The 25781-nt window shown below is 48.0% G+C and overlaps 1 protein-coding gene across 1 annotated transcript in view, besides 6 other annotated features; it reads left to right on the top strand.

The window, feature by feature from the left end:
* Positions 1-25262, top strand: part of ERN1 (endoplasmic reticulum to nucleus signaling 1) — a 91003-nt gene extending 65741 nt beyond the window's left edge. The window contains exons 10-22 of the mRNA NM_001433.5: positions 253-418; positions 3817-3935; positions 6411-6602; positions 8456-8729; positions 9576-9666; positions 9965-10154; positions 11033-11132; positions 11425-11624; positions 15202-15349; positions 16419-16546; positions 18922-19045; positions 19477-19544; positions 20204-25262. Coding sequence (NP_001424.3) covers positions 253-418; positions 3817-3935; positions 6411-6602; positions 8456-8729; positions 9576-9666; positions 9965-10154; positions 11033-11132; positions 11425-11624; positions 15202-15349; positions 16419-16546; positions 18922-19045; positions 19477-19544; positions 20204-20416 — 2013 coding nt within the window. The 3' untranslated portion in view covers positions 20417-25262. The remainder of the gene's footprint in view (positions 1-252; positions 419-3816; positions 3936-6410; positions 6603-8455; positions 8730-9575; positions 9667-9964; positions 10155-11032; positions 11133-11424; positions 11625-15201; positions 15350-16418; positions 16547-18921; positions 19046-19476; positions 19545-20203) is intronic.
* Positions 261-310: an enhancer, noted in NCBI's record as "active region_12577". NCBI's record gives its function as "activates an Ori minimal core promoter by ATAC-STARR-seq in GM12878 lymphoblastoid cells {active_cell/tissue: GM12878}" and the evidence as "EXISTENCE:reporter gene assay evidence [ECO:0000049][PMID:35858748]".
* Positions 1321-1390: an enhancer, noted in NCBI's record as "active region_12576". NCBI's record gives its function as "activates an Ori minimal core promoter by ATAC-STARR-seq in GM12878 lymphoblastoid cells {active_cell/tissue: GM12878}" and the evidence as "EXISTENCE:reporter gene assay evidence [ECO:0000049][PMID:35858748]".
* Positions 7392-7441: a silencer, noted in NCBI's record as "silent region_8837". NCBI's record gives its function as "represses an Ori minimal core promoter by ATAC-STARR-seq in GM12878 lymphoblastoid cells {active_cell/tissue: GM12878}" and the evidence as "EXISTENCE:reporter gene assay evidence [ECO:0000049][PMID:35858748]".
* Positions 7660-8403: an enhancer, noted in NCBI's record as "NANOG-H3K27ac-H3K4me1 hESC enhancer chr17:62133361-62134104 (GRCh37/hg19 assembly coordinates)". NCBI's record gives its function as "activates a minimal SCP1, AML or CMV promoter by ChIP-STARR-seq in naive H9 embryonic stem cells {active_cell/tissue: H9 hESC(naive)}" and the evidence as "EXISTENCE:reporter gene assay evidence [ECO:0000049][PMID:30033119]".
* Positions 7752-7871: an enhancer, noted in NCBI's record as "active region_12575". NCBI's record gives its function as "activates an Ori minimal core promoter by ATAC-STARR-seq in GM12878 lymphoblastoid cells {active_cell/tissue: GM12878}" and the evidence as "EXISTENCE:reporter gene assay evidence [ECO:0000049][PMID:35858748]".
* Positions 8404-9147: an enhancer, noted in NCBI's record as "H3K27ac-H3K4me1 hESC enhancer chr17:62132617-62133360 (GRCh37/hg19 assembly coordinates)". NCBI's record gives its function as "activates a minimal SCP1, AML or CMV promoter by ChIP-STARR-seq in naive H9 embryonic stem cells {active_cell/tissue: H9 hESC(naive)}" and the evidence as "EXISTENCE:reporter gene assay evidence [ECO:0000049][PMID:30033119]".
* Positions 25263-25781: the final 519 nt, after the last annotated feature.

Genomic DNA, 25781 nt, shown 5'->3' with positions numbered 1-25781 from the left:
ACACACACACTTCTTGTTCCCCAGTACCCAGACATAAGAATCTAAAAAGACGTCCATAAAGACATCAGTGCAGCTTGTCACATCCTGAGGGAGAAGCTTCTTTGCCCAGACTTTGGGCCTTTGTGTCTTGCTCTGTCCTGGACTAGCCCTGCACTAGAAATTGCTCACCTTTCAGGACAGTGGCTGGGATGGTGTGCCGTGGGACCCGCTCTCCCTCCAGGGCTCCTGACCCTCACTGCACCCTCTCCACAGCCCCGCGGCAGCACACTTCCTTTGCTGGAAGGGCCCCAGACTGATGGCGTCACCATTGGGGACAAGGGGGAGTGTGTGATCACGCCCAGCACGGACGTCAAGTTTGATCCCGGACTCAAAAGCAAGAACAAGCTCAACTACTTGAGGAATTACTGGCTTCTGATAGGTAAGAGCAGGTCTCCCACAGTAGCCTGAGGTGACAGCGTGCTGCCTCCTGGTGGGCGACCGCCGGCCCTGGTAGTTACACCGTACTGAGCTCGGAAGGCCTTGTGCTCAGAGCCCTTCCCGGCTGGCCCCTGAGACCTTGGGACATTTTTACCCCCAAGGAAAATCAACAAGGTAGCTGTGTTTCTGAGTCAGTTTTTGAAAACTGTTTAATGTTCCAAAACTCAGGTACTAAATTAATGTAAACCTTGTGTGAGTATCCGACATTAAGCCCTTTAGAATGCATTTCCTCACTCCTCACAGCAACCCTGTGTGAGGTAGGTACCCTTGTCATTTCCATTTTATAGTTAAGAAAACTGAGACTGTTTCTATGGAAGAATTAACTTGGAGTCCACGTGGGCATGAGGGTGAGGGGTTGGAGAGGCGAGGGCTGAGGACCCGGGAGGGATTAAATCCCAGGATGGATTGAGAGCAGCAGAGTCAGGGGCTGGTTGTGGTTCTAGGGCAGTGTCATCCCAGGTGTGTGGGAAGGTCCCTTTTTTCCTCTTTCTCTTGTTTTTGCTGCCATCACTAATGGCCAGGGATTGAACTAGAGGCCCTGTCCCAAGAGAGATAAGTTGAGATGACACTTCTTGAGTTGGCAGTGAGTGTGACAAACGAAGGCGGAAGTGAGAAGAGCTGTGTTCCTGGCAAGTGTGCCAAGTCATTAGAGCAGGAGGGAGTTTTCTTGAACCCCATCTGCCCTTCCTGTGCCCCATCCCTCACTGTTCTGCCACCTCCCAGCCCCAGTAGGGGCAGAGCAGGGCAGGAGGTCAGTCGGGTGCTGGAGCACCCAGGGGCCGGTGCAGTTTCTTCTCTCTGTTCTCTTCCTGTCGTGCTTGCTGGTGACAGGTACTAGGGGAGAAAGAGGTCAGGGCTGGGGCTCTGGAAAAGAGATGTGGGGCAGCTGGGAGCATGTGGGGACCAGGAAACAGCAGGATCTGCCAGGCAGTGCGGTGTAGGTGGGGATGTGTGTAACCAGGTATTATGGGGGGAAACCAGGTATCCTTGAGCCCTGCTCGCTTCCTTTATAGATTGTCAAGGTCCATTTCTTTTTTCATCCTGTTTCCTTGTAGCCATTTTTATTTTATTTTTACCAAATAACGGGTAAAGGAGATGACAAAATAATAATACGTTTTTATTAACAGAAGTAGTTGGAGGAGCATGTATGAATAGGCCCATGGTGAGAAAAAAATAGCTAATGAGAAGAGGTCATTGCAATTACAAGGCTGCTCAGCATTATGTGCCAGTTAAGGGGCTCACAGACTGCCCACCAGTGATTAAGAAGTGGAATTAAGGAAATGTGTATATATGAGAATACAGAAAATATGGGGGCAGGGAGTCTTCATGGTTAACTTGTAAAATGAGATCCCTTTAAAATGGAAAGGTTGTCCAAGTAAGGAAACTGCGAAAACAGCAAAGTATAAGGAATCTATTAAGTGTAAGGATCCCACAATTCGAAAGCCTCTTCTGAGGACCTCCAAAGCTCGTCATCTTAAAATATGGCACTGAGACTATGGCAGTGTCTCCTGTTGACGAGGGCCACAAGTAAAAGGATATGCCCTACTATGTCCAGATATGTCCTTTCATTTTCTCTTTGTGGAAAGCATTAAAGATATTCCAGGTTGTCATTAATCGTGAAAATACAAGGATCCAATTAGCTTGAGAGGCATGGTCTGTGGGTTGCCCCAAAGCCATGGCCCTGACCTTGGGTGCTTTCGGCATCAGAGCTTAGTTAACTAGGCATATATAAGCCCGGGAGAGCCTGATTCAGTAGGTCTGGGGCAGGGCCTAGCCATCTGCTTTTTGCTCTGGAATCTGGACCTAAGAGATAATGATAGATGAATACATCAAGGAGACCAGGTAATATTTGTACAAAATATTTAGTGGTCTCATGAGTAAGGTTGTACAGTGGTTGGTCCAGTGTGTACAGCGTGATATCAGTGAAGGCCCAGCTCCAGGAGAAGCCTGTTTACAAGAAGGTTGACAGAAGAACTAGGGGGATTCAGGCTAATGCCTTCCATAGCAGTCTCTTGGCAGGTGTCCTACCAGACAGGTAGGACCCTGAGCACTGAGTGGGTGTTGTGGGAAGGGCAGGACACTGCTGCACAGCGTGGCATGTGGAAGAACACCTCACTTTTCTTAGACCGTAGGTCTCTTGTTAGTGAGCCTCAGAGTTACCCGCACATACTCACATTCGGATTCCTGGGCCCTACCAGCAAGTCTGATTCAGTGGTCTGAAGTGGGCAGACCACAAGTGGAGAAATCCTGCTCCCAAGCAAAGCATGTCTCAGAGCTCCTTGGTACACAAGAGAAACTAGTGGTGGCTCAAAACAAAAGTAGGTTTCCCTTAAAGAATGATATTATGTTGTAGATAGAGAACTGACCTAAAGATGGGAACTCAAAGAGGAATTTTCCAGATCAAGAAATGTACACAGCTTAGACTAGTTCCTGTTTGTTGTCATCTTGGCATGTATGTCATGAAATCTTTGATAGGTTTAGGGGAACAATGGAAAGATCATAAGGTGAAAGAGACGTGAGTCAGAGTGAGATCTGCTCATAGCCAGAGAACAGAAAGGAAAGTCAGCCAGGCTACTGGCAGCCTAATCTGAAACAGTGACCTGGCTCTTTGGGGCAGTATGTGGACTCATTTTTAGAGCTGAATGGATTATCAAGCCCTATCAAATCCCAGTTCCCTATTCTAGTCAGCTTTGTATCTCTTACAGCAATTTGCACACAATAGATGCTCAATAAATGTGTAATGAATGCTCAGTAGCCATGCGATAGTTGTGTAGTGAACAGCAAATGAACGTGGAGCAAGCTATGGCCCCATCCATCTAGCAGGTGTGTCCTACTGCTTTCTCGCAAGTAATGTACCACTTTCCCCGATGGAAGCTCACATTTAGATAATAGTAGGACTGGAACTCCACCTGAGCAATTTAAATACCAAGATGGGAATTCGGCGGCCATAGAAGAGTGATGTTACAGGAAAAAGCATTGAAAGGAGAACTCCTTGAACTTTTAATGAAGCCTCATCATACTTCACCTGTGGATCGGGCCCATGCAGCCCCACGAGCCTTGCGTCTGGTGCCTCCCAAATGTCCTGATCCCTGTCATGCAAGGATACTTCTTCACTCCTCAGTAGGAGACTTGGAATACTGTATTCTGCCATGAAGTAATAAGGGTCCTGCTTTGATGGAATTTTCTGGTAACTGCCACTCATTTTCTCTAACTCACAGTCCTGCTGAGAGTTTGCATTGTGGACCCCTCAGTGGGTAGCACCTGTTGCCTAAGTTTAGCATTGAGTGCCACCACAGCTCGGGAAATTGTTCTCACTAAAGGTTTTGTTTCCTGTCATAGGACACCATGAAACCCCACTGTCTGCGTCTACCAAGATGCTGGAGAGATTTCCCAACAATCTACCCAAACATCGGGAAAATGTGATTCCTGCTGATTCAGAGAAAAAGAGCTTTGAGGAAGTGAGTGAGGAAGCGACCAGTCGGGGGTTGTTGGTGTTAGGTGTTGGGAGGGTGAGGCATTAGACTTTGACTCTGCCTTCTGAGCTTGCAGCCTAGTCTGGGAGGGAAGAGGAATGCACCAGAATCCAAAGCAAAAAACATAAATGGTTAAGGGCTAGTGGAGAGGAATAGGAAGCAACTTGTGAAAGAAGGTGCAGGAAAGGCAGCAGGACCAAGCTAGGCCTGGACCTGGATGAATGGGTAGGATTTGGCCAGGTGGAGGGAGCAAGAGGGCACAGGAGGGAATGGAACAGCAAGGGCAAAAGCCTGGAGTGGGAAGAATGCTGGTGTGCCCAGCTCACAGGCTGTGGGGAGAAAGGCCTGGCCAGACCCGAGGCTACTAAGTAGGGGGTAGTAGGAAATGGGCTCACATGGGTAAAAAGGAACCATGTTACAGGGCCTGAAACAAGCCCTGTGGAGGAGTTTAAGAGTTGTTGAAGGCTGGGTTGGGTGTCTCACACCTGTAATCCCAGTGCTTTGGGAGACCAAGGCAGGAGGATCGCTTGAGCCCAGGAGTTTGAGACCAGCCTGGGCAACATAGCAAGACCCTATTGCTAAAAAAAAAAAAAAAAAAAAAAAAATTGTTGAAGAAGTGATGAGATCTGAAGTTTTATGAAGCAGACAGAGAGTGGCCTGGGACTATTTGCACAGAGTTCCAGGGGCTCTCTTAGCACACCTTGGCCTAAAGCCAGAGGAGAGGGAGTAGAAAGGACTCTAGACCGGGAGCTGAAAGCATCAGTTGAGGAATTCAGCAGCCCCACAGAAGTCAACCTCTTTCTCTTACCTCTCTCTCTCATCTGCTGGTGTCCCCTGTTAGCTTTACCCAGTCAAAAACCCCAGGGGGTTGGGGAAGCCATTGCTTTGGCCCATACAGGTCAGCCTTCTGGGGCACAGAGCCGGTGGAGGAGGTGGAAGGGTGGCTCTGCAGGAGGGAACCCAACATGGCCAGGGAAGGGGAAGAGGGGACGTCTGAGGCTTAGTGACCGATTCAGGCCTGGCAGCTTCAGCAGCCCTGCCATGGAGGGCCCAGGGACAGAGATGCACCTGGGCTACATGAGTAGGGTCAGAAGAAGAAGAGAATGGCTGACTGATGCCGAGACCAAAAGCACAACAAACTCAGTTGAGAGATTTAGATTTTATCCAGAGACAAAGGAAATTGTAGACTTTCAAGATTCCAGGGCACAGTATCTGTTTACCATCATCTACGGAAGTAGCCAGGTTGGAGAAATACATTGATTCCTAAAACAGCAATCTTAAACAGCATTGTCCTATAATCTTATTAAAGTCCTGCATATTCATTATTGAACACTTAGAAAATAAACACATACAGAAGAAAATAAGACAGTGCCCTTAATTTAACACCCAGAGGTAGCCACGTGTCAAATCTTTGTATTTAACCATCTGGTCTTGGATAACGGTCTTTGAAAAAGTATGTTTTAAAATACTCTCAGGTGCATCTGTATGGTGATGAGACATACAGATGTCCCTGGCCACATGCCCAGGTGCTTCCTATATACTCTGCAGGCTACAAACCCCCAAAAATGTGGGAGGCACTGTGGGAGAGGCATGAATAAGAGGGGTACACCTGGAGGGGAGAGAAGAACATTCTAGGCAGCCATCTGGGGGGAGGGGTGAAATGGCGTGAGCGTGTGGGAGGTTTAGCATGTGGGAAATTCAGCATGTGCCAGGGAGGCTGTGTTAGTTTTGTTGGGCAAATGATAACGGCATACCTAGAATACTAGATATTTGAAAGTGAGTCAATGCATTTTTCTAAATGCCTGTTCCGTGAAGTCTTAGAGATTCTGAGGAACTCTAGGGAAGCTCCATTTTTATCTGATTTAATTTTGGGCTTCTAAATTTTCTTTAACAAACGCTTCTGATGCTTCTTAAAAACTTTGAAGAAATAGTGGACTACTGGAATAAATTATAATTTTGGGATTGCACTGACAGTTTACAGGCAACACGAGAAAACTGCTTTATTGCTTTCTAGCCATGTGCCTCTGTATACGTGCGGATTTCCTTTTAATGTGAAATGGTATTATTAAATCAAATACCAATTTTTCACCAGACTTTGTTACAGATGACTTCAGTGTTTTCCTGGATACTGAACCTACCATCAAAGGAGGAAGTGTTTGCCTTTTTGAGGATTTTTGAAAAAAATATGTAGGGTCTGAAGACACCTGCCAAAAGTATTGCTCCAAAAACTATTTTTGAATAATGATAACCTCACTGCAAAGATGCATGGCCTCTCAAAGCAATTGCTTTGAAAGAGGCAACAGTTATCTGGCTACATGATCTTTGGTGAGCTTAAAACAAATAAAACCCCCTGCAGTACAGTCATATCCTTGTAAACAGTGATTGCTTCTCTTGATTGCTGGCCTCATCTGTATCTGGCTAGAAATTTTGCAGTGATGTCGCAACTCTCTCCCATGCAAGGTTATCAACCTGGTTGACCAGACTTCAGAAAACGCACCTACCACCGTGTCTCGGGATGTGGAGGAGAAGCCCGCCCATGCCCCTGCCCGGCCCGAGGCCCCCGTGGACTCCATGCTTAAGGACATGGCTACCATCATCCTGAGCACCTTCCTGCTGATTGGCTGGGTGGCCTTCATCATCACCTATCCCCTGGTAAAGCTCAACAATTCCCCTTTGCCATCCACCTATTTCTGGGGCTTCTCTGCCTGTCGCCTCATGTCAGTGAGATCCAGACAAAAACAACCAGCACATTTCTTTCCCCATTTAAAAGTCAGTGTTTGTTGGCCGGGCGGGCACAGTGGCTCACGCCTGTAATCCCAGCACTTTGGGAGGCCGAGGCGGGTGGATCACAAGGTCAGGAGATCAAGACCATCCTGGCTAACACAGTGAAACCCTGTCTCTACTAAAAATACAAAAAATTAGCCGGGCATGGTGGCAGGGGCCTGTAGTCCCAGCCACTCTGGAGGCTGAGGCAGGAGAATGGCGTGAACCCGTGAGGCGGAGCTTATAGTGAGCTGAGATCACACCACTGCACTCCAGCCTGGGCGACAGAGCAAGGCGACAGAGCAAGACTCCATCTCAAAAAAAAAGAAAAAAAAAGTCAGTGTTTGTTTATCTTCAAAAACATAATTAAAGAGACACTAGCCTCCCAGAAAAGGACAATTTTGTTCCTAAATCTTAGTGTTTTTCAGCTAAGAGCTGATTTATAAGCCTTGCTCAAAGATGATTTTGAATAGTTATCTGTATTTTTAAAGAATAAGGATAATAGATGAAGACCTTTCCTCCCTTAAAAACTGCCATTAGAACTTCTGCTGGGGAGAAGAACCAAAAAAAGAAAAAAGAAGCTGCCTGTGAGATCAGCTTGTGTGAAAAAGGCAGTGTGGCCATCCCTTTACTTCCTAGTTGGAAATGAGCAAGTTCTGTAGCAGAACAGGCCATGGGTGGGATGAAATATGTGAGGGGCATGGTCCTTCAGCAGGTTGCTCAGAGCATCGAGATGCTGTTACCTGAGAGCTCAGGAAGCTAATGACCCGCCCAGGAATGGGAATGACAGACTCTTTATGGCACTCCCCACTGGCACGTCTGCACCTGATAGTTTCACTTTTCACCTCACTCAGTCCTATGAGGTCATTATTATTGATCCCTTGTCCACAAAAGAAGGAAGTAGACCCTGAGAAGCTAAGTAACTTTCCCCACGGGTACCCAGCTAGTAGACGGCATTTCTAGGACTCCACCCCATGGTGGAGAGAAGAAGAGACGACTCCCTGGTGGGTTGGTGGCTCACAGAAGTCCCTTCAGTCCACCTCCTGCACATGGGTAGGGATGATCACAGATCGCTGCTACTTCAGATAATGACAGAATGAATCCTTCAGAGTATTTGAGAGGCATGTGGCCTCGGGGAAGGCAGTGGGATGAAAGGCGGAAGCAGGACCTCAGCCAGGCTCACCATGTGTCAGCCCCACTGCCACCTCCTGGCTATGTGTATGCAGATGTACTCTGCATACCTAGAATACTAGAGCTTCCTCACCTGCCCCTCTGGATTACTGAGTGTCTGTGCGCTAGCCTCTAGCCAACACACAGACACGGTGGGTGGCGAACCTGGGGCTTGCTCTCACCCACCACTGGCTCAGCCATGCTACCTGTGCTTCCTGTTTGGTTTCACCTTTGCAACAACTCTCAGACTTTCATGAAAATCACAGAATTTTAGAACTGAATGAAACTGGCACAGCCCTCAACCTAGGGCACAGTCCCTCCCCTGGTGGCCATCCAGCCCCTCCTAGGGTTGGGGAGTGGGCTGTATGAGCAAGGATCTAACTAGTCGGTGGAAAGACGTCCAGTCATCGAAGCAATTCTGCTTCCAGGTGCCTTCTCACTGGTCTCTTTGTGCCCTGTTGGGTCACATAAAGTACACATGCTCCCTCCGCCACTGGGACCTGTCCCTTCCCAGCTGCTTGTTTCCCTGTGGGAACAGCTGCCCTTGTCTGGATGTGGGTTTCTCTTCCCAGAGCATGCATCAGCAGCAGCAGCTCCAGCACCAGCAGTTCCAGAAGGAACTGGAGAAGATCCAGCTCCTGCAGCAGCAGCAGCAGCAGCTGCCCTTCCACCCACCTGGAGACACGGCTCAGGACGGCGAGCTCCTGGACACGTCTGGCCCGTACTCAGAGAGCTCGGGCACCAGCAGCCCCAGCACGTCCCCCAGGGCCTCCAACCACTCGCTCTGCTCCGGCAGCTCTGCCTCCAAGGCTGGCAGCAGCCCCTCCCTGGAACAAGACGATGGAGGTAAAGCCAGTTGCCATCTTGGTGCTATTTTATGTTTTATTCGAGCACCTCCTGAGAAGTCCAAGGAGTCTCCATAAGATTGTAAACTACCATTCTCAGGGGTTCACTGTGTTCTCCTCTAACTTCCACTCTGGGGGTCTCTGTGGGAAGGCTTCTGCCCCATCCCTTGGCATCTCCCCTTCAGAGGGCCTTCTGGGAACCACCCTGGCCATCCTCCTGTCTTTCTCCACAAGGGCTGGGCGTCGCGGCTGACCAGAGGTGAGCTGCCCATTGGGCTGAAGAGAGTTCCCAGGGCCAGCCGGTGGCCAAGTGTGGAAGTGTCACAGTTGGTCTGCTTTCCTCTGTGGAAGTTGGCTCAAGCCAGTTGTCAGAGCCCCAATTCTGAGGGAACTGGCACAGAGCTGGTGCAGGGAACTCAGAGCCCTCTGTCCCAAGGAGTCTCCTCGTTTTACATGTCCATTGCCGCCACCTGAATGCTTCAGTGCGGATCTTTACAGTGGACTTTGTGGTGGTTGTTAACTATTAAACCATTCTAACTATATCACAATGAATATGTATAAGTGTGTGAAACGCTATGGAGAATCCCTGCCTTCCAGAAGGTTTTAAGATATGCAATCGCACAATAAGGTAAAGGCGGAGACAGAATGCAGGGGCAGGGGGAAGAGGCAGTCCTGGGTGTACATGGGGAGTGGGCCTGGCAGGCTCTTGCTGAGCAGCAGTCTGGGGTGCAGTGCCTCTTAAATCCCATCTTTTAATCTGAGGTCAGGAAGCTTGTCACTATGTTAACCTCAAGGTTCTTTAGGTGATATCTGTTTGAAACAATCTCTTTTTCCTATTTTGTCCCAGATGAGGAAACCAGCGTGGTGATAGTTGGGAAAATTTCCTTCTGTCCCAAGGATGTCCTGGGCCATGGAGCTGAGGGCACAATTGTGTACCGGTGAGTGGATTAGCCAGCCCCCTGCCCTCACCGCCTGGTGTCTAAGTGCCTGTCAGGTTGCGAGCCTGGTGCCAGGCTCAGAGCACAGCAGGGTCAAAGCAGTGACCTAGACGCATGGAGTCCGGCCTCCAGGGAGCTTGCACACTGAGACAAGCGATGATTCCGGGGCCACCAGGCAGTCAGGCGGGGCTCTCTAGGCTGGGAGGCAGTAGGTGAATGCTGTGGACCCAGGTTCTCACCTCATTTACACAGCCTGACTCGTGCTTCCCAGACACAACTCCCACTCCTCATCCCGCAGGGGCATGTTTGACAACCGCGACGTGGCCGTGAAGAGGATCCTCCCCGAGTGTTTTAGCTTCGCAGACCGTGAGGTCCAGCTGTTGCGAGAATCGGATGAGCACCCGAACGTGATCCGCTACTTCTGCACGGAGAAGGACCGGCAATTCCAGTACATTGCCATCGAGCTGTGTGCAGCCACCCTGCAAGAGGTGGATTTATTTTTTTTATTTTGTTAACTTTATTAAAGTCATAGCACTTTGGGAGGCCAAAGTGAGCAGATCACGTGAGCTCAGGAGTTTGAGACCAGCCTGGACAACATGGTGAAACCCCATCTCTACAAAGAAACCAAAAATTAGCCAGGCCTAGCGATGTGTTCCTGTAGCCCCAGCTACTTGGGAGGCTGAGGTGGGAAGATTGCTTGAGCCTGGGAGATCAAGGCTGCAGTAAGCAGTGATTGTGCCACTGCACTCCAGCCTGGACAACAGAGTGAGACCCCGTCAAATTAAAAAAAAGTTACAGTGAATTGTACTAATTTTAAATGTAATAGCTTGATGAATTTTGACAAATGTCTATACCCATTTAACCACATACACAGTCAAAATGTGGAGCATTTTTATCCCTCTGGTTGTAACAGGGTGGTCCCCCCAGCATGCCTGGGCAGTCTGCTTGCAGTTGGCATGTCTCTCCCTCTTTGCCTCCAGGAAACCTGGACAGTTGTTCTTTCCCTCTTCAGTCATGGCTGGTGTGGGCTTGGAGGATGCCAGTTGGTAACTCCAGGCTTTAAGATCATCCAGCAAGCTCCTTTTGCTCATTTTCCAGGCTCACTTTGAAACCATATCAGTATCATTTGGATTCCTTTGTAGGTTTACTTATATGAGGCAATGAACTTGAGTTTCTTGCCTTCTTATCTTTCTCATTGTAAATTAGTAGATTTGGAGGTTTGCTCCTTGCTGGAAAACATGGATTTAGACAGAATGTTGTCAGTAAAACTTGCCATTTCTTTCTTAAAATGGTATCAAAGAAAGTGAGCCGAGGGGCCAAGTCCTGAGGACTGTGTGCCGTGACCTTGCTGTCATGTCTTTTGCAGTATGTGGAGCAGAAGGACTTTGCGCATCTCGGCCTGGAGCCCATCACCTTGCTGCAGCAGACCACCTCGGGCCTGGCCCACCTCCACTCCCTCAACATCGGTGAGAGGCTGCACTTTACCAGGCCAGCGGCCCGGGTGGGGAGAATCAGTGGCCCAGGTGGGGCTAACCAGTAGCTCGGGTGGGCCTTGCTTCTGTTCAAGCTCTTGGCTATATCACCAGTAGCAAAGATGAGTGGTGTAAGAATTTGAGGAGGAATCCGACATAGTTGAAAATCAGAACATTTGGAGGTGGCGGCAGGCATATTGGGAGTCTGACGAGGACACATTCCCCATTGGAGGAGGCCTGGGGTTGCTCCTGGTAAGCATTGGACTAATCTGGAGTTCTCTGTTAGTTCACAGAGACCTAAAGCCACACAACATCCTCATATCCATGCCCAATGCACACGGCAAGATCAAGGCCATGATCTCCGACTTTGGCCTCTGCAAGAAGCTGGCAGTGGGCAGACACAGTTTCAGCCGCCGATCTGGGGTGCCTGGCACAGAAGGCTGGATCGCTCCAGAGATGCTGAGCGAAGACTGTAAGGAGAACCCTGTGAGTAATAGGCTATGGCCCTTTGAAAACTACAGAACCAGCCCATTGTATCTTCAGGAGTAGAACCTTTAAATTCCAGGTTTGGGGGCTGGTGCCCGTGTAGCTGGAGAATGGCATTCCTTTCACCAAGAGCTTCTGTGTGAACATTCTGTGTCATCTCATGTTCAGCTGATTAAAGGGGCAAATGTGGGCAATTATCTATTTTTTTTCCCTATTCTTCCAATCACTTGTTTTTTTTTTTTGTTTGGTTGGTTGGCTGTTTTTTTGTTTTTTTTGTGTGACAGAGTCTTACTGTCACCCAGGCTGGAGTGTAGTGGCATGATCTCAGCTCACTGCAATCTCCACCTCCCAGGTTCAAGCGATTCTCCTGCTTCAGCCTCCTGAGTAGCTAGGATTACAGGTACCTGCCACCACACCCAGCTAAATCAATCACTTTTTAACCCCTTTTTAATTTTGGTAAACTGGGAAGTCAGGGCTTGCTTAGCGTGAGCAAACTTCAAGTTTTCATTATTTTTAAAATTTTGTTTTTGTTTTCTCAACTTATTTTGATAATTTTTAGACATAGAGAAAATTAAAAGAAAAAAATTTTTTAGAAGTGCGATCTCGCTATTTTGCCCAGGCTGGTCTTGAACTCCTGGGCTCAGGCTTAGCCTCCCAAAGTGCTGGGATTGCAGACATGAGCCACAGCATCTGGCTGAAAGAATGTTAACATGAATACCTGTGTATCTCCACCTAGATTCAACATTTGTTAATACTTTTGCCACATTTGCTTTATCTTTACCTATTACTGAACCATTTGAATATAAGTAGCAGGCATCCTGGCCCTTCATCCCTGAAGACCTCAGCACGTGTCTCCTAAGGAATACATTGTGTTTCCAACCACAATACCATTATCCCACCTCAACAGTTAATACTGTTTCTATCCATCATCTCATATTCAATCCATATTCAAATTTCCCCAATTAGTCCCCAAATGTCTTTTATAGAGTTGGTATTTTGCTACCTACTGGGTTTTGATACCTACTGGGTTTTATATACCAGGATGGAATCAGGTGTCTTGCGTTACATTTGATTCTGTCTCTTGGAATTTACAAATCTTTCCACCTATATTTTGTTCCATGTTGAAGTTCCATTTTGAAGAGTCCAGGCAGTGGGTTATAGGATGCCCCATTCTGGTTTGTTTGCTTTTTTCCTCATGACAGCGTTGAACATTTCTCTGTATTCCTTGTATTTCCTGGAAACCAGAAGTTAGGTGGAGAGGCTTGATTAGGTTCAAGTTAAATGTTTTTGGCACGAATGTTTTTGGCAGGTCTCTACATCAGAAAGCATGTGATGGCAGATTGTATCTGTAAGATTATTATCACCTCCTCTTAGTGATGCTACAGCTGATCTCTCTACCATAAGGGTTCATTTCCTCCTCTCTTGTTAGTATTTGGGGTGATACTTCAGCACAATGTGAATATCCTGTTTACTGACAGTCACTCACCCAGTGGTTTAGCATGTGTTGATCACCCTTGCCTGAAGTACTCAGTTGAGTAGAAATTCTTCTACATTGTTAGCTGACATTTTTCTGTAAAGCAGAGCTTTCTTTTCACTTTCTTCTCTCTCTCTTTTTTTTTTTTCTTAATCGCTATGGGCTCAAGGATTTTGAAACTAATGTTATAATCCATTTTAGTCCTTTTTTTGTTATTTACTTCTTTTGATACACAAATTGTTCCAAATTTGGCCAACCTGGAAACCCCTTCAAGCTGGCTTCTGCATCCATTTGCTGGGAGCGCACTCACACTTGAGCACCTTATTCTAGCACAAGTCGCCGAGGCTCACCTTGGACACTCCCCGATGGAGACCTGGGTGGGTCAGTCATCTTGAGTGGATTAGATATGGCTGCCTCTTATCCAGCTCACTGGGGACCAGCAGCTGGTCAGATCATCAAAGAAGTCAGTTACAGCGAAGAATCATAAAAACACGCACGCACGCCGTAACACTTAATTTTAACTTAAAGCAAGTAATATTAGCCCTTAAGTCATAGAAATCTTGTGCTGTAGGCTAAGGTCTTTTCAGATTTGGGTCTGACTGACTGGAGTCCTCATTTTCCCCCTTGCATTAAGCACACTTCTGTACCACTTCTGTGACTTCTGCATGGAGGCTTGGACACTTCAAACACTTCCTAAGCGATTTGAGAGCAGAAGCCTGGTTTTTAACGCTTCATGACCCAGTCCCTTACGGTTGAATCCACCACACCAAATGCCGCAGCAGCTCTTGTAACCATTCCCTTTCCTTTATCGAGTCTTTCTAAAGATTCAGCTTACCTCAGACTTCGTGGCACTCATGTTTAACAGCTTATGGAATATCCAAATTACAAGGACAAGTGGCAATAATAAGTTTGGGAAAGAACATAATTGGGGCCAGGCAGGTAGGAAAGATGCCTCTTCACCTTAGTGTTGTCTGTGCTGGGGACAGCAGGCTGCAGAGAGTGTGGGGGGCGTGAAAGACCCAGAGAGCTCTGGGAGTCAGGGGCGAGCTCCAGCTGTGGTGGCCATGTTCCTCCTGTCCCGAATCCAGCACCTTCCTAAGGGAAAATCCAGTGAGGTAGAATAAAGCATGGTAGGTTTGGAGATTGGAAGACCTGAGTCCCATCCTGGTTTATCACATCCAGCAGTGACCCTGAGCTTGTCATGCAACCTTTCTGTCCACGTTCTCATCTGGGGATGAAAGCATTTGCTCTGCTCGCCTCACAAGGTTGTTGTGAGGCTGAATGAGAGTGCTGTGTTGTTCAAGGTGTGTCTCCTCCAGCATGGGAGGTGATGAGCCCCTGCTTCCTCACACTAGACCCTCACTTCACCTGGTGGAGAATCTCAGAGGCAGGGCCTACTAACAGGGACCCAAGCTGTGCTCAGGAACCACCTTGGTATTACACCCCAGGTAGCATGAGCTAAAAAACACAAACGTACATTTCCCTCGAAGGAAGCTATTCTGTAGACACAGAATGGTTTCATGGGATAAGTGAGAGGCTTTCTCGGATTAACATCAAACATGACCTCCTTGGTAACTTGTCAGATAGTTTCTTTCTAGGGCTGTTTTTGAATCATAAGCTGTTTTATTCACTTATTAGCAATTTTGATACCTACTGTGTGCAGGCACCATTCTGGGCCCTGGGGGTACAGCAGGGAAGCAACGACACAGAGACCCTGTCTGTGAGCACTTTCGTGTTGGGGGTAAGGAATATATAACAGCCAGGAGGGCTTTTGATGGGCCAAGCACTGTCGTAAGCAACCATTTTTGCATATTAATGCATCTCTTTTGACAACAGCCCCATGCTGTCAGTGTCCTCATCTCACATGAGAGGGAACCAGGGGCTTCCAGGTGGCTCCAAGCCCAGGTTCTCCACTGGGACCTCTGACACCCATGCAGTGCTGCAGGTTAGCCCTCGCTGCTCTGTGCAGCTCACATATGTCAGCTGATTCTCCCAGGACACCTTCTAGGTGGCAGAAGCAGCAGCAATGCTCCTCCCTCCCTGACTGTGAGTGAGGATGAAAACTCTGCTCCCAGACCTCTCACGCCTCATGTCTCTTTTCAGACCTACACGGTGGACATCTTTTCTGCAGGCTGCGTCTTTTACTACGTAATCTCTGAGGGCAGCCACCCTTTTGGCAAGTCCCTGCAGCGGCAGGCCAACATCCTCCTGGGTGCCTGCAGCCTTGACTGCTTGCACCCAGAGAAGCACGGTGAGCGGTCCAGGGGTTGGGGTTGGGAGCAGCTCCTCAGCTGCCTCAGGTGGCCCTGCAGAGCTGGGCTGGTGCCACCTTTGCACTCACAGAGGCCGTGGTGCCCCAGCTGCTCACCCCGCAGGCCTCAGGACCTCCAGACTTGTGCCAAATCTGGTAGAGGGTTGGTAGGGTTATCTCTGGGGCGCCACCTTCTAAAGCTGAGATGCTCCAAGGTTCCTCCAGGTCACCAACTACTTGTGTGACCTAGGCAAAGCCCCCTTTGGAGACCTTCTTTTTCTACCTGGTGACATGAGGGTTGAATAATCAGAGGTCCCTTCCTGCACTGGCATTTGGGAAGACAAATTGTCTTCTCTCTTGGGATGGCGAGTGGTCAGTAGGTGCAGTCTGTGCTGGGCTGGGGACAGACAAGCTTTATCCTCACCCTCCTGGTCTCCTGGTATGGGTGCAACAAGTCTTTCTTCCAGACTTCAGGTTTTCCTGGGTGGTAATTGGCCCATGACACTCCAGTGCTGCCTTTTGAAAAAATTACAACTAAATTATTGTTTTGTTTATGCTTAATTTTTCTTATTATAGAAAACACAGATTAGCATAAAGGCCCATATATTCCCATTATACAGGGATGAATGATGGCTATTGATACCTTTGCATATACGTTATTCCAGTCATTTATCTAGACGTGATTGCATATTTTATAAAAATACAGTTAAATCCTGCATACTGTTTTGCAGCATGCACGTTTTTCAGCGTCACCTTGAATCTCTCTCCACGTCAATCCATATTTAGTCACAGCCGCACTTTAACAGCTCATGGCCCAGCGTAGGGAGGCACCGTAGTGTATCCACTTGGGCCTCTGATACTGGATGTTTACAGTCACTTCCTTCACAAACCATGCAGTGAGGACTCACCTCTTTGGCTGAGGTTTTGTGTCTGTTCCTAATTATTTTATTGGAATAAATTCCTGTAAATAGAATCATAAATGAGAGGGTGTGCAGCTTTTTAAAGTTTTTGGTATTTCACTGTGGCTTTGGACTGGTAGTCATGAGTTGCTTATTTTCCTCCTTTATAGAAGACGTCATTGCACGTGAATTGATAGAGAAGATGATTGCGATGGATCCTCAGAAACGCCCCTCAGCGAAGCATGTGCTCAAACACCCGTTCTTCTGGAGCCTAGAGAAGCAGCTCCAGTTCTTCCAGGTAGAGACGTCTGTTCTCTTTATCCAGAGTCTTCATTTAATGTTTTTCAGATTTTGAAAATACAGAAAAGGACAAAGAATAAAATAAATTGCCCATTACCCTAAAACTGGAAGATAATCATGGCTGATGTTTTAATGTTTTCTTCATATATAAAAGTATAATTGGGATCTAACCGTATATACAGTTTCAGAATCCCTTTTTTTAACTGTACATGATATTTTAAGTTTCTTTCATGTTAAAGTTCTAAAATTCCAATGACCATAGTATTCTATCATATGGATGTGCCATAATGGTTAAGCTTTATATTATGGAATTTCCAAATATATAATACATAAATGTTTAAATGCTATAATGAGCACTCCTTTATTCATCCCTCAGGTTCAATAAATATTAACCTTCACCCTCTCCCCACCCCAGGTTATTTCGAAGTAAATCTCAGGCATCATATAATTTCATTCAAGTGTCATAAGCTTATTTATTTATTTTTATTTTTTTTGAGACAGCGTTTCACTCCGTTACCCAGGCTGGAGTACAGTGGTGCAATCTTGGCTCACTGCAACCTCTGCCTCCCGGGTTCAAGTGATTCTCCTGCCTCAGCTTCCTGAGTAGCTGGGATTACAGATATGCACCACCACGCCTGCCTAAGTTTTTTTGTATTTTTAGTAGAGATGGGGTTTCACCATGTTGGCCAGGCTGGTCTTGAACTCCGGACCTCAGGTGATCTGCCCGCCTCAGCCTCCCAAAGTGCTGGGATTACAGGCATGAGCCACCAGGCCCAGCCCAAGTGTCATAAATTTCAGTGCTTTCTTATATTGTATTTGTTTCTATCATCTTTTACACAGTCTTGGCCCAGATCTCCTTTTGCTTAAAATAGGTTCTGCAAAGTTAGAACTCCTTTGGTGATTTGACTGTTTTAAAGCTTTGTGACAATGTCAGGTGACTTTTGAAGAGGTAATGTGTTTTTCAAAGTCTTCCATGTATGAATTGAACATAACTCACCCGAACGCCTCCTGCCCAGCACGTGGCTCTGAAAGCAGGCTTGTGGGGCAGTGCTTTTCCCCTTGGGTCCAGGCAGAGTGCAGCTTGGTGGGCACCGTACTGAGAAGTGACCATCATGCTCTCCTGGGGTCTGACTGGGGCCTTGGCCAGAGGGAAGCCCCCAGAATGTAAGCTCCTCGAGGACAGGAGTGCTTGACTGCTGCATTCACTACTGTGTCCCTGCCTCCTAGGGAGGACGCTGCCTGGCCCAACCATTCAGATGGATCGGGTTGGGAAGAGTTTAATGCTGTCTTCCATGTTGTAGCATATGGATTGGTCACTGTGTCCATGGACATAATGTGAAAATTCTCAAGTCCATATGTCTTCCAGGGACTTGTGAAAACTAACCAGGTCATTTTGATCGCAAAATATAGAACAGGAATAAAACCCACACAAAGGGACCTTCACCCACCAAGGGACAGGATTTAAATGCTTAGTATCTCCAGGTCATATGTCTCTCGAACACACCTGGCTTCCACTCAGGTCATTTAGCCGTAACAGCTTTGCAGCTCAGACACGTGTGTTCCCAGTGTACCCAAGTTGACAATCTAACCTCTCCACAGCTTCTCTCTGACAATTGTAAATTAGGAGTTCAGCCAGTCTGGCTTCATCTTCATCATAGAAAAGGCTGCTCTGAGAAAAGGGTCTCCTAAGGCTACTTAACATTGATGTAGACAGGGCTCACCACTCCCTGTGTCCTCAGCTGTCGACCTGTCTTACTGGTGGGACTTCAAGAGGCCATACTTGGGTGCTTCCTGACCCTCTCCTTATTACCAAAGTCAAATGCAGAGCAAGGTTTGAATCCCAACAGGAGCCTCTGGAGCCCATACTCTTGCCACCAAGTTTCCTCTTTGAGAAGAAGGCCCAGCTTCACAGGTCTTTTCTACTGGTGGAGGGAAGAGTGGCGACCCTCCACCAGTTATGGGCTTGAGCATACCCTGTTTCAGTGAGTAGACAAAGCACGGGATGCACATCAAATCTGAGCTTTCCTTTTCTTTTTGGTTTTGGTTCATTGGATATAGATTGCACTTGCGGCTCCGTACACATGGCGTGTGTGTGCACATGTGAAATTCAGGGTATGCGTTCGTGGTCTATATGCAGGTGTACTCTGTGACACCTCTCTGACATGGGAGAAGCTCTCTGTGGGCCTGTGCTTCGTGAGGAACAGAGCAGCTCACAGGGAAAGTCATGGATGAGGGAGGGAGGGGGCAGGGTGCCTGCTGCCCAGCTCTGGGGCAGGCTTATGTGTCAGTGATGATCTGTTACTGAGTCCCAGTCGCACAGCTCTCAGCATCTCCAGCACTGACCATCATCTGCTGCCCTTGTTTCTCTCACAGGACGTGAGCGACAGAATAGAAAAGGAATCCCTGGATGGCCCGATCGTGAAGCAGTTAGAGAGAGGCGGGAGAGCCGTGGTGAAGATGGACTGGCGGGAGAACATCACTGTCCCCCTCCAGACAGGTGATCATGCTGCAGCGTGTGAGAGGGCAGGTTGCAAAAGTCGCTGCCGCCTTTCCAAAAAGTAAACGTGGAAATGGCCGCTCCAGGCTGTTCAGGCCCCACATCCCACCTGTCAGGTTTGAGACTTTCTTGGGTGTGTCCTCTGTGGTTTGGTTACACTGATGTGTGTTTCATTTTTGTTCCCTAGAGTGACAGGTGAGTGATGGTGTCGTGCTCTAGGTGGTCATTTCTGACCTGGGTGTGATCACCAGGTGGGGTTCAGGGGGATACCACCCTTGGGTTGGATGGGAGGATCTGCTCCCATGCCTAGGTGTGGAGTGACCTCACCTTTCAGTCCAACTCCCTAATCCCAGGACCCCATGAATTGTTTTCTTTTAAAATGTATTAGTTTTAAATTTGATTACCCATTGCTTCCCTCAATGTTTTTCTAGACCTGCGTAAATTCAGGACCTATAAAGGTGGTTCTGTCAGAGATCTCCTCCGAGCCATGAGAAATAAGGTAAGCAGTTTGTAAATGCTGGGGAGGAGACCCAGTGGCCATGACATGGACACCTTCCTCCTTTCATCCATTCTTTATAAATCTTTTATCTGTACTGGCATTCTCATCTCTCAGGAGCTAGGCGGCTTCAGCTGGACTTGGCAAACTGCAGGCTGTTGCCTCTCTTACGCTGATTTTCCCTTCAGGGACGTAGGTGCAGGTGAAGCTCCGGGAAGCAGTGCTCTGCGGCCCATGTCCCTCATGGTCTCTGGTCGCTGACTTTTGTGGGGCCCTCTCCCTGTCTGATGCAGCCACTGTGTGTAAACATGTATAAACATACCTCAAATGCGGGGACCCCACTGGGACGGACACTCCAATCTCAGGCGACTTTACTCCTCCTGAGGTGGCCAGGAGTGTCTCCAGGTCCTGACTGTCACAGAAGGCCTGAGCACCCCCTGGACTGGCTGGGCCTTGCTCACTTCAAGGCCTCCTCCTGAGTGAGGGTAGCAGGCGAGATGACGGGGCTGGATTCTTGGATACATAAGCCTTTTTTCTTTTTCTTTACCAAAAACCAACACTCACATTCTGTCTCTTCCTTGCATGATGAAAGGGTGTTTTGCCAACATTTCCCGAGCTTTCTAACCCCTTTCTAATCTCCCGAGCTTTCTAACTCTTTGCAGAAGCACCACTACCGGGAGCTGCCTGCAGAGGTGCGGGAGACGCTGGGGTCCCTCCCCGACGACTTCGTGTGCTACTTCACATCTCGCTTCCCCCACCTCCTCGCACACACCTACCGGGCCATGGAGCTGTGCAGCCACGAGAGACTCTTCCAGCCCTACTACTTCCACGAGCCCCCAGAGCCCCAGCCCCCAGTGACTCCAGACGCCCTCTGAGCGAGGGCGGCCCCTCTGTTCTGGTGGCCCCAGCTGTGACTGAGGGCCTGGTCACCACAATTAGAGCTTGATGCCTCCCGGCTTTGCAGGGAGACCAGGCTTCCCAAACCAAGTGCCTTGAGCTGCCTGCTCTGCAGCCCACAGAGGACAGTGCTGACCCCAGGAAGTGGGAGAAGTGGCCCCTCGTGACCTACAGGGAACTGGGAAGATGCTGGCCCCAAAAGCCTTACGGTCATGATGTCTGCAAAGGAGGGCCTCAGAGACAGCGCGAGTAGCACCCCCAGCCATCTACTGGATAAACTTGCTTCAGACTTTTTAAATTCCTGCTTAATGTCAGTCTACAGGCCTTTCAGGAAGGGAGAGGAGGGAATCGTACATTTTGCTTGCGTGCTGGGACAGCTAGGCTGAGATGCACCAAGTACAGCCTTCACTGGAGACCGGAATTGAGAGGTGGGGGATGCTGAGGAGGGGGAGGACGGAGTTCAGAGGGTGTCGTCCTGCAGTGTGAGATTTCTCATTGATCACAGATGTGCCCAGAGTAGCCCAGGTCACTGTTAACTAGTGTTTCTGCAGAGGCAGCAGGAGCCATGAGCATGAGGTGTGGCATTAGGGACTGGTCAGCTATGCATGCTGGCAGGTGGGGTTGTGTCTGCAGGTCTCAGAAATGAAGAGGCTGCTCTGTTCTGGAGGCAGCCGTGGCCCAGTGCCAGTGGCCAGAACAGTGGCCTTTGGTGGGTGTGTCCCGGGCCATCTCGGGGTGGTGCTCAGGAGCGCCTGGGGCAAGAGGTAAAGAGTTCCCTGGCCTTCAAGGAGAGCAGCGAAGACCCAGACAGGGGCCAGCCTTCAGGACCAGAGGGAGGCCGCCGAATGGGACCCTCCTGGTCACCAGGAGAAAGCCCTGGGCCAGCGAGTAGGCAGTCAAACTCCTTCGTCCCCAAGGCCGGTGGAACAAGAGGCTCGTGGTGAGTCAGGGCCAGGGTGGGTGGCCAAGGCCAGGGTCACCGTGTGCTTCATGGGCCAGCTTTTTTGTTTTTCTTGGCAAATTTTAATAACTATATTTTGATTATACTGTAGAATGCTATGTCAGCATAAGTAAGCTAAACTTGAAGCTTTCTTGTGAAGAATAAATGCAAGATAGAATACATCTTCTATTTTTTGTGGTACCAAAAATCACCATCCCCTCAAGAGTGTTCATGTATAGAACATTCTCTAATGCTGAAGAGTAAAACATTATAGCAACACTATGTAAATGTATTGAACAGTATCAAAGAAATAGTCTCTAAATTGTTTGTACCATATTTTTTTTTCTAAACTTAACATAATTTTTAGCTTTAGTTTCAGTCAAAACTTTGTCTTTTCTCTCCCGAGAGCCTTAGAGGTTAAAATGCAATCAGCCTACCGTGTAAGGAGATGTTGTCCATGTACTTTCTCCAGCCAGTTGGGGGATCATTGCAGCTCAGGCCTGGTGAACTCAGAGATTCCATTCAGTATTAAGAATGGGATTGTTGAATTTTACTCACAGAGAAATCACTGTTTCTTCATGTTGTAAGATGTTTTCTGTTTGTGTATTTGTATCATGGTTACTCATCAAAAGCTCTCATTCTGCCTTTGTAGAATTCAGTTCCCTTCCTTTCATCATAGCTAAAGTGACTTTTTTCCCTACTATTAACGTGATCCTACATCCTTAAATCTCATCGATTACCTCACTTAGGCCTTGGAACCTTGGCCCTTGGTCGGTGTCCTTGGCGTCTTCTAAGCAAGGCTGTGCGTTGTTCAGAAACGTGGCCAGACCGCATTTCCTGCTGCTCCCATGCCGCATGCCAGGTGGCCTGAGACAGAGCTCCCCATACGGCTGCAAGGTGCTTTACCTGTGGGCTTTGGCAGTAACCCAAGAGAGGATCAGAAGGTGGAGAAGGTGCCACGAGTGATTTAACAGGCCTGCCACAGGGAGTGCCCCCAGCCCAGCTCGTTCTCAGCACAGGTTTTCTCTTTGGGAGTACCCAGGTGATTTCTAGTGACCCAATTTTGTGTCATCTCCCTGTTTTAGCCCCACTTGCCTAGAGACAACTGTTTCCGATGCCTTTTCTGCTTATCATACTAGTTTCTAACCACGCAGATTTCTCAAAATCATTTATTCAATGTATTTTATTTGAGCACTTAGTGTATTGAGCTAGGCAGGATATAGGGTGCCGGAGATACAGCGATGAACAAGACAGGCAAAACTTCTGCTTTCCTAAAACTTGTGATGAGAGAGAACAATAAAAAAGTGTTGCTGCCACAAAGAAACCAAAGTGTGTGGGGAAGGGCGCGTGTTTGCGGTTTACATCTCTTCTGTCCCAGAATCACAGGGATCTGGTCCGGTCACCTCTGGTCTTTCCTCTTAGTCGCCTTTAGGAGCCCTGGTTCCCGTCCATCCTCTGGGGGGTTTGTTTGAAGAGATCTCGTGTGGGTACTTGTCATGAAAACACCTTGGGCATCATCTGGTGTATCCAGTTCTAGTCTCGAGAATTCTGGTTTCCCACTGTGCTCAGCAAGTGGAAAGTTCTTTTCAGGCCAGAACAGCTCTGCACCATCACATATCGTGTTGCGGCTTAGCTGTTTGGTCTGTAGTTCAGGTTATGGGACTTCTCCAATCCTGGAAGGCTGTTGAGCTTTTTAGAAGTACTGTACGCTATCTTCAAGATGGAGCTTGGTCACATCTGTTAGGAATCCAAAGGACACTATGACTTATTTAAATCTTGTCTTACTAAACCTCTCTTGGGCACGTGTGCCAGAATTTCTCTTGTTGCTTCTTGAGTCTTTTTAATTTCAGTGTTTTTTCGTTTGTTTTTTGTTTTTTTGAGACAGAGTCTCGCTCTGTCACCCAGGCTGGAGTGCAGTGGCACGACCTCAGCTCACTGCAACCTCCGCCTCCTTGGTTCAAGCAATTCTCCTGCCTCAGCCTCCCGAGTAGCTGGGATTACAGGTGTGTGCCACCACGCTCGGCTAATTTTTTATATTTTTTTTAGTAGAGACGGGGTTTCCCCATGTTAGGCAGGATGGTCTCGATCTCCTAACCTCGTGATCCGCCTGCCTCAGCCTCCCAAAGTGCTGGGATTACAGGCTTGAGCCACCGCACCCGGCCTAATCTCAGTTTTTGAAGTGCTCCACAAGTCATTAGGCACCAAAACATTTTCACCTGGGGAACACTGGCATTTCCCTGATTAGCTGTGAAGCAATCTAGTGGCTAAGTGTGAAATCCTGGGTGCGCAGGTGTTCTCACTCCCGCCGTGTTCTCAGTGCAGTGGTGGTCAGAGGCCCTTCCAAGGAGACATCACTCTGATCAGTTACAGATAGATGTTCTGGAAGATCTGCAGGTGAGTAGATCCAGCAGAGTTTCTTCCCACCAACTCTAGAAGAAAGGGCCTTATCAGAGTTGACCCTGAGCCTTTGGTAAGGTTTTGTGTGCATGCGATTCAGTTATCTTTGGCAATTCTTTTCTTGCTGCAGTGAGAGATTAATTGGTTGCTGATCAAACCGTTCATGCAGATGGGGGGACCTTTGGATTGTACGGCTTTCTCCTCTTGGCTGCTTTCTTTTCAGGAAGTTGGACTTTGGCCAGGTTTGGCTTTCCCAGAGCCGTTCCTTTCTCTGTCCTTTCCTTGGGTCCTCATGGTGTGCCCATTGGATCCTTGGCCTTGTGATCCTCTGGGAACTGGGGGCCAGTTCCACTTTTGCAGCCTTCTGTGCTGGAAGAGAAGCCCAGCGCCCTGGAAGGAGCCTCTTTAAGTCCCCCATGTCGCTTTCTCTCTCTGCTCTTTTAGTGTCTGAGATTGCCTTTCTTTGAATTTCCCAGTGTTTCTTTTCCTTGTCCCTTCCCTCACCAACCTGGAGTTATTTTGGTTGACTATGTCCTGGCTTTGGCTTCTCCTGGCAGGAAGTCATCAGGCATCCTCTCCAGGTGAGCCGAAATTCCACCCTCCCAGGTTGGACATCATCTTTTAAACCCAATGGTCTACTCCCCTCCTTCTTTATGAAACAGTGATTTCCCGTGAGTAACTCTGGTTCTGATTTTTTGTACCGGCGCTTAAATTCTTTCTGTAGACGTTGGAAAGCCACAAAGAACGTGACTGCAGTGAGCCTCCCACTGGAGCAGCCTTAACCAACACTTTGGCCAAAGCCCCCCCACCTCCCCTGTGTACTGTGTGTGTGTTTGGTGGATACAGTATTCCTTTTCAGTGTCCCTAAAGCTGTGATGGGGAGTCCCCACTTACCTAGAAAGCATTACCAGTCACCTACTCTGCATTCTCAGATGTAAACCTTGTGTAGTGTTCTTTTTGCAATGACCTATTTATTTAACCTATTTATATTTATTTAATTTTTACTCTGAAATGTATCCAGTTACAATTGTACTTGCTTAAAGCACATCAGATTTGTTTTGGACAACACCCTTGACCATTTTAAAACTGGAAAAGTGATACTGTATCCTTCCATGGGATGGATGCTTTACAGTAGTCTTATTATTAAAGGGTGATTAATTTGGTCGGGGTAAAATGTTAATTTTTAGGTGATTTTTAAGAATTCTGTGCCATTATGTCTTCTGTGTGGATGGTTAATTGTTTAATTAGTACGTGTTAATTGTGTGATACAGTCTTCTTTGTGGAACCCAAAATCCTCTTTTTAGCTTTATATTTTATAAACTGCCAGATTGTACAACTTTTATGTGCATTTTTAAAGCTTGAAGACATGAGGGTCATTATCTAAGTTAAACAGCCTATTTTTGTGCCTCCTGTACAGTTTTATAATTCTGCTGATGGCGGCATCTTATGTCGAGCCAACCACAATAAAGGTAGTTTTAGATTTTGGAGTCAGTCTCATTTTCTTAAAGATTCAAATACCATTCTCAGATAGGCTGTGCTCACTGTCCTTCTGGGTGGCCGGGGCTGGATTATGAGGCCTTTGCAGCTGGCTCGGCTGGTGGGGGATGGGTGTCCTCATGTCCACAGCAGGGTCCGGGGACTGGAACACCCTCCATGGTGGCTGTGTGTCAGAAAAGCTTCTTTGAAACCTTGCAGGAAGTTCCCAAAAGTACTGATTTGGGCTGAATTCCAGGAAGGTGGCCAGCTGGGACAGTCATGCCACGTGGTGAGAATTGGGCTTCAAAGCAGAGTTTGGGGCATGTGTACAGTAGGTAGGATACCAGACCAGGAAACCCAGGAGGGGAGAAATGCCATTGAGACCAACAAGGGCTGGGAGTGCCCCCAAAGAGTGGGACAGCGGCGTGTGGAATGAGCTCAGCTGACGTCTGCTTGGACTTTGCAATCCTCCCAACACACCTGCTCCTTCCCCTGCACCCTCTCTATGGAGAAATCAGGTGAGGCTCCAC

Source organism: Homo sapiens, chromosome 17 (genome assembly GCF_000001405.40).
Source record: "Homo sapiens chromosome 17, GRCh38.p14 Primary Assembly".
NCBI lineage: Eukaryota > Metazoa > Chordata > Mammalia > Primates > Hominidae > Homo > Homo sapiens.
This window is presented reverse-complemented; position numbering and strand designations above follow the sequence as displayed.